Below are 16,302 nucleotides of genomic sequence, written 5' to 3' on the forward strand. Positions count from 1 at the left end.
AAACTGGTCTGTGCCAAGTCACAGTTGTGCATGTCTAATGAGTCACCACCATGTTCTGTAGCCCTCTATGTGGGCCAAAGCATGGAGAATAGGAGAAAACCCCTCACCCCTTCCTTGGGGAAGGTAACTCTGTTGCCTAAGTTCACAGGCAGAGCTGCTTAGGCTCTCAGCATCTCACAAGATTTTCTTTGATTATTGGGCTTGTTTTCATTATCGTCATAATGTGCATTTTTAAATCAATTAGCTCTTTTAGTTTTTGCTTATAGTCAGTGTCTCTGAATGATTCAGACATAAACCTGTGGAGGCTGTGCCAGATGTTACAATAACTTGAGGGACATACCATGTTATTCTCAGAATCCTGTCTCCCTTCTGTCTCTCAGACACTGTTCTAAGCCAGATTTGGTGGTTGTTTGTTTTCTTTCCTTTGACCTTAATCCAATTAGACCCCAGGCAGTCATACCCATCCTAGAGCTCTGACATTATCAGTTTCTTAAGCACAAGACAATGATGACCTAAGCTAATGACTGCTTGGTTTCAAGTTGAGATTCCTACTATATAAAAATGTCTGATTTGGTTAAAACAGAAAGAGAATGTATTTGCGATTCACTGAAATCCTCTTAAATGTCTTTGTTATATGGCAAAATTTATAAATATTTTTTATTTGGACAAGAACCTTGCCCTTAGGGCTGTTTCAAGACAAACATCCAATCATTAAACAGATTAGTAAAATATCTAAGATATAGTTAATATCATAAATAAAAAATACAGAATATGTCACAGTTTTAGTCTGCCTTAAATTGGATCTTTTTCTGGGGGTGGAAGTAGAGAAGTTCTTTTCCACAGTAAAGATACTGTAGGCTGTCTTTGTAACTTCCTAGTCGCAAGAACTTGAACAACCTCCCTTAACTGCACTCATAACTAATGTAAGATTTTCTGTTTATATATCAAAAAGCTGTATGGAAACTCAAATAAAAAATAATTTTGAACATTTTCTATTTTTAAAGAACAATGCAAATGTTTGCCACCCATTCTTATCTTTTGGACATGAAATTACTAAGACATACATTTCTCAGAGAGCTCTGGTGAGGATTCTGAGGCAGTGAAGGGATCAGGGGGAAAGAGTGCCATTATTGATTAGTGTTATCCAACACTGATATAGAAACAGCAAAGAAGAGGGAAGAAAGGTCCTGTCAGTCCTAATAGCATGATGAGAGTGACATGCTACCAACAGTGTCCTGCATTACTCTGGGGGAATATCTTAGTAACTAGCAAGAATCTTGTAACAGTAAGAAAGAAGGAGGAAAGGTCCTGGCAATCCTAATAGCATGATGAGAGTCATATATGCTACCAACAAAGTGTCCTGGATTACTCTGGGGAATATCTTAGTAACTAGCAAGGATATAGGAGTAAACCAGCCTGTTAGCAAAGAAAATCATTAAAGGACTTTATTGTCTCTAAATCATAAGCCCCTTTCCATGTGATTCAGGACAAGTCATGGCCCAATCCAAATTCAGTTTCCCAAGGCTTATTCATTGAATTATCACAACTATCCACTCTCAGCAAATTCTTCCTATCTTAATACTAGTCCTCATAGCAAAAAAGTTACAAAAGGAAAGTATAGATGTTATTTCTCTGTGCAAAAAATTTTCTTCCAACTGATACTCGGAATTTGATTTTAAGGAACTCTTTAGCAATCAACTACGAAACCCTCAGTGACCTGTATTTTGTTGATAATTGGGAAAGCAGAAACATTTCCTAATCCATAATGTCTCTCTCTCTCTCTCTCTCTCTCTTTTCTTTTTTTAACTTTAGTGCAATGATTCTCAAGGGGAGGGGAGTACAATTATCTACATTAGAAAAAGTCTGGAGACATTCTAGATTGTCATAACTTGGGGGAAGGTGCAGCTAGTAGGTAGAGGTTAGAAATGCTGCTAAACATTCTGTGATGGACAGGACAGTCCCTCAAAACAAAAATTATCAAGCCCTAAATGTTAATGTTGTGAAGGTTACGAAACTTTACTTGAGAAGAACGTGTGCCTTGATAGCAAAATTGTTAGAATTCTGCTTAGAATTCTCTTCCGTTCCTCAATTAGTGGAGAATCCTGGGGGAGAAAGAAATCATTTATGCAGAAGACCAGCCACATATAACCATTCTTGTCTTAAGAATACTGGAAGAAGAGTAGTAAATGTAAAGTTATCTATCTGAAATAATCTCTAGATTTACTTTGATACTAAATTTCAGTATGTGGAATATCAGACCCCTCTATGATTATAAATATGACACCTTCAATATATGCAAAGCACATGGCAAGTACAATGATAGGCTATTTTCCTTCCATAATACCTATGAGTGGTCATGACTCTTAATTCTAGTATAACTGTAGATGATAGAAAACCTAAATATATTTTAACTGATAACAACTTGACTCTTGCCTTTCTTCAAATTATTCCTTGTATGATATGGTTCTATAGTTATTTACAAGTCAACCTTAGTGACTTCTCATTCCTGCATAGTTAAAAATAAAAAGTGATACAAGCGTTTATGAATATCTTTCCATTCAAATTCAATGTGGTAATTAAAATGTAATGAAAAACATTTATCTTTCGTCAAATCACTTTGACATCTTGGTTCAAGAAAATGATTCTATAACGTCCCTTTTTCTAAGTAAGGCTAATAGCCTGTCTTTTCACTAGGAACCAAAATAAATATGACAATATTAGAGTCTTCACGTTTGTTTTCAATTAAAATATACAACTGCATAAATGTAAAAATATTAAACATGAGATATTTATTTTGTGATTTACCTTTTTAATTGTTTCATTTCTTTGAAATAAATCAGGTCAGAAATAAAATGTGCTTATTGTCCTCTTTACTTTTTCATTGGGTTTTTCTTTTCTACAAAGTTACAGCTCAGTTTTATTATGTAGGGTTACTGCATGGTTCTTTTCATATATCAAGATGAAAATAGTGACAAGTTCAGTGTCTTTAATTTGTCTCTGATTATTTTTCAATAAATCATGTCTAGAGTAAGTATTGAGTTGTTTTTGTAATCAAAATCTGTTATGTTTTTATGGGATATTTAATATTTAAATACTGGTATTTTGAAGGCTTCAATTGATTTTCTATTTTATTTATTTCTTCTAAAAAGAAAAAAATGGGATACATGTACAGAACGTGCAGGTTTGTTACATAGATATACACATGCCATCGTGGTTTTTTGCAGCTATTGACTCGTCCACTAAGTTCCCTCCTATCACCCCCTACCCCCCAACAGGCCCTGGTGTGTGTCGTTGCCCTCTCTGTGTCCATGCATTCTCATTGTTCAACTCCCACTTATGAGTGAGAACATGCAGTGTTTGGTTTTCTGTTCCTGTGTTAATTTGCTGAGGATGATGGCTTCCAGCTTCATCCATGTCGCCGCAGAAGACATGATCTCATTCCTTTTTATGGCTGCAGAGTATTCCATGGTGAATATCTACCAAATTTTCTTTATTATCATTAATGAGCATTCGGGTTGGTCTTTGCTATTGTAAGTAGTGCGCAAAAAACATATGTGTGATGTGTCTTTATAGTAGAATGATTTCTATTTCTTTGGGTATATACCCAGTAATGGGATTGCTGGGTCAAATGGTATTTCTGGTTCTAGATCCTTGAGGAATGGTCCATATTGTATTCCACAATGGCTGACCTAATTTACATTCCCACCAACAGTGTAAAAGCATTCCTATTTCTCTATAGTCTTGCCAGCATCTATTGTTTCCTGACTTTTTAATAATGGTCATTCTGACTGGCATGAGATGGTATCTCATTGTAGTTTTGATTTGCATTTCTCTGATGATCAGTGATGTTGAGCTTTTTTTATATGTTTGTTGGCCACATACATGTCTTCTTTTGAGAAGTGTCTATGCATATCCTTTTCCCACTTTTTGATGGGTTTTTTTTTCTTGTAAATATGTTTGAGTTTCTTATAAATCCTGGTTATTAGACCTTTGTCAGATGAGTAGATTGCAAAAATTTTCTCCCATTCTGTAGGTTGCCTGTTCACTTGGATGATAGTTTTTTGTTTTTTTGTTTGTTTGTTTGTTTTTTGCTGTGCATTAGCTCTTTAGTTTAATTAGATTCCAGTTTTCAATTTTGGCTTTTGTTTCTATTCTTCTGGTGTTTTAGTCATGAAGTCTTTGCCCATGCCTGTGTCCTGAATGGTATTGCCTAGGTTTTCTTCCAGGTTTTTTATGGTTTTGGGTTTTACATTTAAGTTGTTAATCCATTTTGAGTTAATTTTTGTATAAAGTGTAAGGAAGGGGTCCAGTTTCAGTTTTCTGCATATGGTTAGCCAGTTTTCCCAGCACCATTTACTAAAGAGGAGATCATTTCCACATGGCTTGTTTTTGTCAAGTTTGACAAAGACCAAATGATTGTAAATGTGTGGTGTTACTTCTGAGGTCTCTGTTCTTCTCCATTGGTCTACATGTCTGTTTTGGTACCAGTGCCATGCTGTTTTGGTTACTGTAGCCTTGTAGTATAGTTTAAAGTCAGGTAGCCTGATGCCTCCAGCTTTGTTATTTTTGCTTAGGATTGTCTTGGCTATACAGGGTCTTCTTTGATTCCAAAAATAATTTTAAATTGTTTTCTCTAATTCTGTGAAAAATGTCAATGGTAATTTGATGGGAATAGCATTGACTCTATAATTACTTTGGGCAGTATGGCCATTTTCACAATATTGATTCTTCCTATCTCTGAGGGTGGAATGTTTTCCATTTGTTTGTGTTGTCTCTTATTTCCTTGAACAGTGGTTTGTAGTTCTCCTTGAAGAGGTCCTTCACATCCCTTGTTAGCTGTATTCCTAGGTATTTTATTCTATTTGTAGCAATTATGAATGGGAGTTCATTCAGGATTTGGCTCCCTGCTTGCCTATTGTTGGTGTAAAGGAATGCTTATGATTTTTGCACATTGATTTTGTATCCTGAGACTTTGCTGAAGTTGCTGATCAGCTTAAGGAGTTTTGGGGCTGAGACAATGGGGTTTTATAAATATAAAATCATGTCATCTGCAAACAGAGACAATTTGACTTCCTTTCTTCCTATTTGAATATGCTTTATTTCTTTCTCTTGCCTGATTGCCCTGGCCAGAACTTCCAATACTATGTTGAATAGGAGTGCTGATAGACGGCCTCCTTGTCTTGTACTGGTTTTCAAAGGGAACGCTTCCAGCTTTTGCCCATTTGATATGATATTGACTGTGGATTTGTCATAAATAGCTCTTATTATTTTGAGATATGTTCCATCAATACCTAGTTTATTGAGAGTTTTTAACATGAAGCGATGTTGAATTTTATGAAAGGCCTTTTCTGCATCTATTGAGATAATCATGTGGTTTTTGTCATTGGTTCTGTTTATGGTGATGGATTATGTTTACTGATTTGCATATATTGAACCAGCCTTGCATCCCAGAGATGAAGCTGATTTGATTGTGGGAGATAAATTTTTTGATGTGCTGCTAGATTTGGTTTGTGGTATTTTATTGAGGATTTTCACATCAATGTTTATCAGGGATACTGGCCTGAAATTTTCTTTTTTTGCTGTGTCTCTGCCAGGTTTTGGTATCAGGATGATGCTGGCCTCATAAAATGAGTTAGGGAAAAGTCCCTCCTTTTCAGTTGTTTGGAATAGTTTCAGAGCTAATGGTACCATATCCTCTTTGTATGTCTGGTAGAATTCAGCTGTGAATCCATCTAGTCCTGGGCTTTTTTGGTTGGTAGGCTACTAATTACTGGCTCAATTTCAGAACATGTTATTGTTCTATTGAGGAATTCAGCTTCTTCCTGGTTTAATCTTGGGAGGGCATATGCATTCAGAAATTTACCCATTTCTTCTAGGTTTTATAGTTTATTTGCATATAGGTATTTATAGTGTTCTCTGATGATAGTTTGTATTTCTGTGGGGTCAGTGGTGGTATTTCCTTTATCATTTTTTATTGTGTCTGTTTGATTCTTCTCTCTCCCTTTCTTTATTAGTCTATCTAGTGGTCTATCTATTTTGTTAATTTTTTCAAATAGTAGCTCCTGTACTCATTGATTTTTTGGAGAGTTTTTCATAACTCTATCTCCTACAATTCTTCTCTGATCTTAGTTATTTCTTGTCTTCTGCTAGCTTTTGAATTAGTTTGCTCTTGCCTTTCTAGCTCTTTTAATCGTGATGTTAGGGTGTTAATTTGAGAGCTTTGTAGCTTTCTGATGTGGACATTTAGTGCTATAAATTTCCCTCTTCATATAGTTTTAGCTGTGTCCCAGAGATTCTGGTACATTACCTCTTTGTGCTCATTGGTTTCAAAGAACTTCTTGATTTCTGCCTTAATTTTATTATTTTCTCAGGAGTCATTCAGAAGCAGGTTGTTCAATTTCCATGAAATTGTGTGGTCTTGTGTGAGTTTCTAAATCCTTAGTTCTAATTTGATTGCACTGCAGTCTGAGAGACTGTTATGATTTCTATTCTTTTGCATTTGCTGAGAAGTGTTTTACTTCCAATTATGTGGTTGATTTTAAAATAAGTGCCACATGGCACTGAGAAGAGTGTATATTCTGTTGTTCTGGGGTAAAGAGTTCTGTAAACATCTACTGGGCCCACTTGATCCAGAGCTGAGTTCAAGTCCTGAATATCCTTGTTAATTTTCTGTCTCATTGATCTGTCTAATACTGACAGTGGGGTGTTAAAGTCTGCCACTGTTATTGTGTGTGGGAGTCTAAGTCTCTTTGTAGGTTTCTAAGAACTTGTTTTATGAATCCAGGTGGTCCTTTACTGGTTGCATATATATTTAGAATAGTTAGCTCTTCTCGTTGAATTGTTCCCTTTACCATTGTGTAATGCCCTTCTTTGTCTTTTTTGATCTTTGTTGGCTTAAGGTCTGTTTTGTCAGAGACTAGGATTGCAACCCCCTGCTTTTTTTTTTTTTTTTTTGCTTTCCATTTGCTTCGTAAATTTTCCTCCGTCCCTTTATTTTGAGCCTGTGTGTGTCTTTGCACTTAAGATGGGTCTCCTGAATAGAGCACACTGATGGGTCTTGATTCCTGATCCAATTTGCCAGTCTGTGTCTTTTAATTGAGGCATTTAGCCCATTTACATTTAAGGTTAGTATTGTTATGTGTGAATTTGATCCTGTCATCATGATACTATTTGGTTATTTTGCACACCAGTTGATGCAGTTTCTTTGTAGTGTCATTGGTCTTTATATTTTGTTGTGTTTTTGCAGTGGTTGGTGTCAGTTTTTCCTTTCCATATGTAGTGCTGCTTTCAGGAGCTCTTGCAGGTCAGACCTGGTGGTAACAAAATCCATCAGCATTTGCTTGTCTGGAAAGGATTTTGTTTCTCCTTCACTCATAGAGCTTAGTTTGGCCAGATATGAAATTCTGGATTAAAAATTCTTTTCTTTAAGAATGTTGAATATTGGCCCCCACTCTCTTCTGGCTTGTAGAGTTTCTGCAGAGAGATCCACTGTTTGTCTGATGGGCTTCCCTTTGTAGGTGACCTGCCCTCTCTCTCTGGCTGCCCTTAACAGTTTTTCCTTCATTTCGACTTTGGAGAACTCGATGATTATGTGTCTTGGGGGTTGATCTTCTCTTGGAGTATCTTAATGGTGTTCTCTGTATCTCCTGAATTTGCATGTTGGCCTGTCTTGCTAGATAGGGGAAGTTCTCCTGGATAATATTCTGAAGTGTGTCTTCCAGCTTGTTTCCATTCTCCCTGTCTCCTTCTGGTACTCCAATCAATTGTAGGTTTGGTCTTTTTATTAGGTCCCATATTTCTTTGTGCCTTTGTTCATTACTTTACACTCTTTTTTCTCTATTCTCATCTGCACCTCTAATTTCAGTAAGGTGGCCTTCAAACTCTGATATCCTTTCTTCTGCTTGGTCTATCTGGCTGTTGATACTTGTGTATGTTTAACCAAGTTCTCATGCTGTGTTTTTAAGCTCCATCAGGTCATTTATTTTCCTCTCTAAACTGGTAATTCTAGTTAGCAATTCTTCTAACCTTTTATCACGGCTCTTAGCTTCTTTGCATTGGGTTAGAACATGCTCCATAGCTCATCATAGTTTTTTATTACCCATCTTCTGAAGGCTGCTTCTGTCATTTGGCACATCTGATCCTCCATCCAGTTCTGCACCCTTGATGGAGAGACGTTGCGATCATTTAGAGAAGAAGCACTCTGGCCTTTTGGGTTTTCAACACTTTTTCATTGATTCTTTCTCATCTTCATGAATTTGTCTAGTTTCAGTCTTTGAGCCTGCTTATCCTTTAATGGGGTTTTGTGGGGGCCTTTTTGTTGTTGTTGTTGATACAGTCGTTGTTGCTTTCTGCTTGTTTGTTTTTCTTTCAATAGTCAGGTCCCACTTCTGTAGGCTTGCAGTTTGCTGGGGGTTCACTTCAGGCCCTATTCAACTGATTCACTCTTGTGCCTGGAGATGTCACTCAAGGAGGCTAGAGAGTAGCAAAGATGGGTGCCTACTTCTTCTTCTGGGACCTCTGACCTCAAGGGGCACCAACCTGATGCCAGTAGGATTGCTCCTGTATAGGCTGTCTGACAACCCCTGTTAGAGGGTCTCACCCAGTTTGGTGGCACAGGGAGCAGGACCCGTTTAATGAATCACACTTTGTCCCTTGGTGGAGAGGGTGTGTTTCACTCAGGGGAAACCCACTCACCTGGGCTGCCCAGATTCCTCAGAACTACCAGGAGGAGAGGCTAAGTGTGCTGGTCTGCAGAGACTGTGGCCACCCCTTCCCCTAGGGGCTCAGCCCCAGGGAGATCCAAATTCTGTCCCTGAGCCTCTAGCTGGAGTTATTGGAGTTCCTGTGGGGAAGCCCTGCCCATGGAGGAAGGATGGGTCAGAGTTAGGCCTGATGAGGCACTCTGGCCACAGATTGCCACAGCTGGTGTGTTGGGCTGTAGGGACAAGTCTTGGGACCAAGCCGTCCAGCCTTCCTGGCTTCAGTAGGGGAAAAACAGCCTGGAGCTATAGAAATGGGTGCTGCCCTTCCTCCACCCAGGGAGCTAGGCGAGTTAGGCTGTTGTGATTCACAGTGCTGGCTGCTGCTCCTCCCCCAAGGAGCTCAAACAGCTTAGACATTAGGCTGCCACCAGTGCTCCTTCAATGGATTTTCTATAACATACCTACAACCATTTAAAAAATGTGTTGTCAGTGAAAAAGTATTTTCGTTTGATGATTGTGGAACCAAGAGGATCCCAAGAACATTTCAGGGATTTATTAATTTAAACTTATATATTGGTAAGAAATCCATTAAAGGACAAAATAGCCCATAGATTTTAATAGCTTTATAATCACCTTAAGCTAGATCACATGGTTATATATACTTTCTACCTTGTACATTATTATAAATGACAGTCCTGCTAAACTTTCTGCCACTATTTAGTAATTATACCTTACCTCTAGTTTCCAATAAGATTTTCTTCACTTCCCTTTAAGTCTTTACTGATAGTCACCTCAAAGTCCAAATTTTATGAATAATTTGTTCAAGGTTCATTAAGTGTTTGCTAATATTATCATCAAAGTCCACTGCCCTGTTTCAAAGCAATTTCTTCGTTTTAAGTTTTTGATATGGTAGCATCCGATTTTGTTACTAAAATCTGTATTACTTCTCTATTGCTGTGTAACAAATCACCCCCAAAATTAGTGGCTTTAAACAACAAATACTTACTATTTCATGTTTTCTGTGGGTGAGGATTTTAGGATTACCTTAGTTCGATATCTCTCATGAAGTTGCTATCAAGATATTGCCTAGGCTGCAGTCATCTGAAAGTTGAGTGGTGCTGAATGACCTTTGTCCAAAGTGGGTCAGCTACATCGCTGTTGGCAGATGGGCTCAGATCCTTGTAGCCATCATTATAGGCCCAATAGGTTGCCTGAGTTTCCCCATGGCATAGCGGCTGACTACCAGTAGAGTGAGTGATCCAAGTGAGAGAATCTAGGAAATGACATAGCATCACTTCTGCTACGCCCTGTGAGTCATAACCCTGAAAAACGTGAGACGGGATTACACAAAAGTGTAAATACCTGAAACAGGAATTTTTGTAGGCAAAGTTGGAGGCTGACTACCACACACACTTTTGCAATCCATGTGCTCCTCTGCACATGACCACATGGAACCATTGATTTGCTTTTTATCACTATAAGCTACTTTGCACTTTTTAACATTTTCAATAAATGAGTATGTACCCTTTTGTGTCTAGCTTCTATCACTCAGCATAATTTTGAAATTTATCTATATTGAAGAGTTTATGAGTCATTTTTTCTTTTTTATTGCTATGAGTTTCACTGTGGAAATCCTACACATTGTATCTATCTATTTACTTGTTCTTCAATATTTGAATTTTTACCAGGTTTTTATATTACAAATAAAGCTTCTATAAATATCTGTGTCTGTCACACACTTTATGTGAACGTATAACTTTATTTTTTTTGGGCAAAGACTTAGGAATGGAATGACTGTGTCCTATGGTAGGTACATGGTTAATTTTTAAAGAAACTGCCAAACTTTTCCAAAGTGCTGTACCATGTTACAGTAATATATGAGAGTGCCAATTGTTTTACACCCTTGACACCATGTCATATTTGTAGTTTTCTTAAGCTATTCTAATATCTCTATAATGGTGTCATATTATAGTTTAAAGTTGCATTTCTCTGATGACTTTTCATTTGCTTAATTACTACTATGTGTGTTTTTCCTTTCTTTTTCCTCTTTCTCTTTCCTCTTCCTCCTCTCCTTGATCCTCTCTTTCTCCTTTCTTTTCTACTTCTCCTCTTTTGCTGTTCAAATTATTTGGCCAGTGTAAGAGTTTATACAAATTAGATTAAAGTCCTTGGTGAGGTAAGATATTAATGTTTTCTCCCATTATCTGGCCACCTTTTCACTTTCTTAATGTTTTATTTTCAAGAGAAATATATTACATTTTAATAAAGGCCAATTTTTTCAACATTTTATTTTACAGGTCCTATCTAAAAAAGCCTTTGCCTGCTTCCAGGCTGTAAAGATTTTATCTTTAGTTGTCTTTTAGAAGTTTTATATTTTTTACTTTTATATTTAGTTATATTCCCCTTTTTGAGTAAATTCTGTAGGCTGTCAGGTTAAGGGTTGATGTTCATTACTTCACAGATACCTACTTCCATCAGTTTTTTTTTTAAAAACTTGCTTTAAAAATCTTGATTCAAAATCTTTGACCATATATTTATACAACGATTTCTGGACTCTACATTGTTCAACTGACTCATATATCCTTTGTTATGCTAATACCACACAGCCTTTATTATTGTAGCTTTATATTGTGGTTTTGAAGGTTAATGTAAATTATCAAGCTTGGTTTTTATTTTGTAAAATTGCTTTGGACTTTCTAGGTTTTTTTTCCATCTCAATATAAATGTTATAATAAGCTTATCAAGTATTTCCAAAAATCTTGTTAGAATTTGGGGGTAATTGCTTTGCATTTGTAGATCTATTTGAAGAGAATCAGTGTTTAAAAAATATTGAGTTTTTCCTTCATTAACATGGTATATCTCCTCATATAGGTATTCTTTAATTTCTCTTAGCAATGTTTTACAGATCTGAGTGTAGATGTCTCATAAATATTTTTTCTAAATTTTATTATTAGGTTTTTATTCTGATAGATATTTTAAAATTATGCTTTCCAATTGCTTATTGTTAGTATATAAAATATTATTGAGTTTTATACCTTAACAATGTTACATTTACTTATTAATTCTAATAAATTTTTAAGACCCTGAGGATTTTTTTATTAAAACAATCATGTCATGTATAAATAGAAGCAATTTTATTTCTTCCATTTTGATTCTTACTACTGTTATTTCTTTGTCTTGCCTTGTTCCGATGGCTAAACATTTCATACCCCGTAAAAAAGAAGTTATTTTAAATCTTCTATGTGTGTGAGAGAGGAAGGTGGCATTAGTATTAAGCATTGCTCCACTGTATATTATATTAACTGTAGAATTTTTATAGATGACTTTTATAAGACAGAGGTAGTTCCCTTCTATTCATAGTTTGCTGGTAACTTTTACCATGAATTGGTGATGAGTTTTGTCAAATAATTTCTCTGCCTCTGTTGAATTGATTATATGGTTGTTCTCCTTTATTTTGTTATTTTGTGAATTACATTGAACTCTTTGGAAGACTACTACTTGATTATAATGCATTATATATTGGTGGATTTCATTTGCTATAATTTTTAAAGATTATTACATCTATGTTCACAAAGGCTATTATTATTCCATAATTTTTCATGATTTTATCTTTACTGCTTTCAAGATTTTATTTAATCTTTGGTTTTCGTCAGTTTGACTATGGTATTTCTAGGCGAGTTTTTCCTGTTTCTCTTATTTGAAGTTTGCTGTTATTTAAACTGTAAATTGATATTTTTCAACAAATTTAAGAAGATTTTTGTCATTTAAAAAAATATTTCATTCTGAGACTCCACTTTTACAAATGTTGGAGATTCCTCTGATTCTGTTTGTTCATTATGAATGTACTTTTCTTTATTTCATTGAGCACACTTGTGATAGCTGTTCTAAAGTTCTAGTTTAATAATTCCAATATCTGGATTATATTGGAGCTGGCCTGTGTTAATTATATTTTCCCTTAAGAAAACATGATGTGCTTTGGTTGTTTGCAAGATGTTGTTTTAGATTTTATCATGGAAGTGTTGAATGTCAAATATGGATTCTATTACATTGCTTCAAAAAGCAGTAGCTATTTTTTTAACAGGCAGTTGGTTAGATTCACACTACAAATGCTATCACACCTGCTTATATCACATTTGAGACTTATTTGCAAACTGCTTTGAGACATGTCTGCATATTCATTGTTCAGGGCTGTAATATACTACGAAACATATTGTCCATCTAAGATTAATGATCGTCATAACGCCCACTCAAGCATCTTGCAGAATAGATACAATGTGTTACCTTGTAGTATGATGGAAGCTGGTCCAGGAATTTCTAACTCTGGTCTGAGGATTTCCAAGAGCAAAAAAAAAAATCATCTCAGCACAGATGCAACTTTCATGAACCTTAAAACAAAGCTTACCCTTACAGGAATAGCTTAAACTCCCTTTGTGAAAGAATCACCTGGTAAGTGGTCCAGACTGAATACAGGTGTAAAAAAGAGAGAAGAATCCCCCAGACTCTGAGAATAGTCTCCAGATGGAGACTCTCTGGTTAGGCAGTCATATGGCCCCTGCATTTGGTCCATGTCACTGGCCTGCACCTGCTATTCATCTTTTAATAGCACTGCCAGAATAAACTGCTGGAACATCAAACGGTGCCTAAAGCTCATCTTTGATGTGAGTTGAGCTGAAAGGAAAAATTTGTCCCTTGGGCAAGCTAGTTAAATTGGACCACCCAAAGAGCTCTGAACATGACAAAGAGTCAAACAGCAACTTCAGCAGAGTTTACACATATAACCCAGGGCACTCTTTCTTTGGCTCCTTCCTTTCCAGGATCCCTACGGCCTCAATTTCCAGCAGATGTGGTCACTTCAGACTCTGTTACCTGGTTAATTATGCTAGAAATAGAGAGGATTTTATAATAAAGTTTCATCCACCTTGTATCATGCCACAATTATGGCCAATCTTCAAGCCAGTCCAAAAAAAATTAGAAACCCATTTTTTTCCGATTTGTTATATCAGGTTTGGACCCCTATCCAAAATCAGTTTTAATTTTTTCCACTCTCTGTAGCCTTGGCTAGTTTTTGTGTGTGTGTTCAAATCTGAGTTACATTTGTTCTCTGCAGTAGGGTTTTCTTAGGGACGTACTCTGCCATATAGGAAGCAGAAGCGCTAATGTTACTTAGCATTTGAGTCTTCAAATAATAATAAATTTCTGGAAGATAATAAAATGAAATATAAGATTGGAAAACAGTGTCTGCTTCTCAGTATTGAAAATGTAGAGGACACAGTATTAAATATATTTGAAAATCATATATAATATAAGCGCTGTGATCTTCCAAGGTGTTTCTAAGATGAGTAGTTAAATGGATTTAAAGGTAGACTTGGGAGTTCGGATTCAAGTGTGTGTCATGATATGTGTGGAATGTATTTGTCCATGTATGTGTTGGTTCAGATACTTTTAAGAAGGAGAAGGAAAAAAATAGAGGTAATTTATTAGGGAGAAGGATACATGACATTATTGACTAAGGTTCCAAGGCTGTAAACAATTAGGCATGGATTTAAATTATGTACAATGATAGTGATAATGGTAGGAAATATAGCCATAATAATTTTAGCTAATATTTATTATTCTTTTGTTTGTGAAACATCATGTTAATCGGTTTGCACAGTTTTTTAGATAACTTTCAGATAATTCTACAAGAAGGGGAGCTATTATCTCAGTTTTACAAATGAGAAAATCTGGGTGTAGAGAGATTTGCTAACTTTCCAAAGATCTTAAAACTAGTAGAGAACAGGAATTTGAATCCAGTTTTGAGCTTTAACAATTTTTTATATGCTATAGACCAGATGTTTGACTCAATTTCTCCTTGTAGTACTTGACCCAAAAATCATTTTCAATGTACTCTTATTACTAGGTTTTATCTGGGATAACATGCTGTCGTTCACTATTAGCCCACGTTAATAGTCAGATACTACATTATAGACATGTTTAAAAAGAAATTTTAGTCATTTAGCCTTGTAACTTAAAATTTTTCGGAGTTATTTTCTGTGTAAGTATCTGAAAACCCTGTCAATATAAATAGCTTTTTTTCTGCTAGCTCAAGTACAAAATCTATGTGCCAGGTGTTGACCTTGTTAAATTACTGGTGAAAACATGTTTTTGTCAGCTGCTAGAGGAAACTTCTGAGGTGCTACCTCTGGTTTGACAATTATTTTTAATATTATAAATTAATGTGTAGAAGGAAAAGAGCAATATGCACAAGCAAGCTAAACTTAAAAAATACTGAATTTAAAATAACTGAGTACAGGGCTTATGATAACAAAGGATGAGTAAATGCTATAAATTAATTGATGTAATCCTCTTTGAAAATTCACATTATTTAAAAACAAAGACAATGTAACCTAAAGAACCACTGTTATTTAATAAAGATTTTTAAATAAGTTTAGCTCCTTTCTCTGCTTTGAAAAATTTGTCAACTTTACCTGAAGGTGACCTCTGAGACCATTTGTGTGTGAAATTTCTCTTCTACTCTTTTCTCAATTGTACATTCACCTTGTTCTAGCCTGAAAAATGTGTATCCAATTGTCAAAATGATTCTTTTGGGTAATTAAAAAATATTTTTTAAGAAGATATGAGAAAATGATATAGTACAACTATCTACTTTTTATTGTTGTTGTTGTTGGCTTTTACATGTTTGGGCCATATTTGCAATTATTTTCATTACACTGAGACCTTTTTTTCTTCTTTCTTTTGGTAGAGGTGAATGATTGCATGGTGTACCTCAAGAAACCAAATAATTGGTGGCAGCATATAATGTTTAAATTTATCGAACAAGTTTAAAGCCTCTTTCAGGAGAAAGCAAACAATCATAATGTTATAGGCATTTGCAGGTATTTCAGTAGGGCTGGAAGTTATCAACACTGTTTCTAAGTGTCCATCTACAGCACTGATGAAATAATACCTAAGGGTCTACATAAACTTTTAAACGAAGAAACAACATGCTTGGCCCAATGAGAATTTTAGACTCTTTTCTCTGATAAAATAGGAAAGAGCTGAAAAAGAGGTAGGCTTTCAGGCAAAAATTACAACAGATCCATTGTAGGGTCCAGCCCTACAGGGCTTTGCGGGTTTCTCCCCGTGTACGGAGACCAGAGATTGTAAGAAATAAAGACACAAGACAAAGAGCTAAGGAGAAAACAGCTGGGCCGGGGGGACCACTACCACCAAGACGCAGAAACAGTATTGCCCCCAAAGGGCTGGGCGTGCTGATACTTGTTGAATACAAGACTAGGGGGCAGGGTAAGGAGGGTGAGTTGTCCAAGTGATTGATAAGGTCAAGCAAGTCACGTGATCATGGGACAGGGGGCCTTTCCCTTTTAGGTAGCCGAAGCAGAGGGGGAAGGCAGCATACATCAGAGTTTTCTTCTATGCACTTATGAGAAAGATCAAAGACTTCAAGACTTTCACTATTTCTTTTACCGCTATCTTCTAAGAACTTCAAAGAGGAACCAGGAGTATGGGAGGAACGTGAAAGTGGACAAGGAGTGTGACCATTGAAGCACAGCTCCACAGGGAGGGGTTTAGGCCTCCGGATGACTGCGGACAGGCCTGGATA

The 16,302-nt window shown here is 36.1% G+C and overlaps 1 long non-coding RNA gene across 2 annotated transcripts in view, besides 2 other annotated features; it reads left to right on the top strand.

Moving 5' to 3' along the window:
* LINC00871 (long intergenic non-protein coding RNA 871) overlaps nucleotides 1-16,302 on the top strand; it is a 437,745-nt gene that overhangs the window by 304,315 nt on the left and 117,128 nt on the right. The window lies entirely within an intron of this gene.
* Nucleotides 8,915-9,415: an enhancer, noted in NCBI's record as "H3K4me1 hESC enhancer chr14:46846591-46847091 (GRCh37/hg19 assembly coordinates)". NCBI's record gives its function as "activates a minimal SCP1, AML or CMV promoter by ChIP-STARR-seq in naive H9 embryonic stem cells {active_cell/tissue: H9 hESC(naive)}" and the evidence as "EXISTENCE:reporter gene assay evidence [ECO:0000049][PMID:30033119]".
* Nucleotides 12,812-13,712: an enhancer, noted in NCBI's record as "OCT4-NANOG hESC enhancer chr14:46850488-46851388 (GRCh37/hg19 assembly coordinates)". NCBI's record gives its function as "activates a minimal SCP1, AML or CMV promoter by ChIP-STARR-seq in naive H9 embryonic stem cells {active_cell/tissue: H9 hESC(naive)}" and the evidence as "EXISTENCE:reporter gene assay evidence [ECO:0000049][PMID:30033119]".

The sequence above is a fragment of the Homo sapiens genome, chromosome 14, assembly GCF_000001405.40.
Source record: "Homo sapiens chromosome 14, GRCh38.p14 Primary Assembly".
In the NCBI taxonomy this organism is placed as follows: Eukaryota; Metazoa; Chordata; class Mammalia; order Primates; family Hominidae; genus Homo; species Homo sapiens.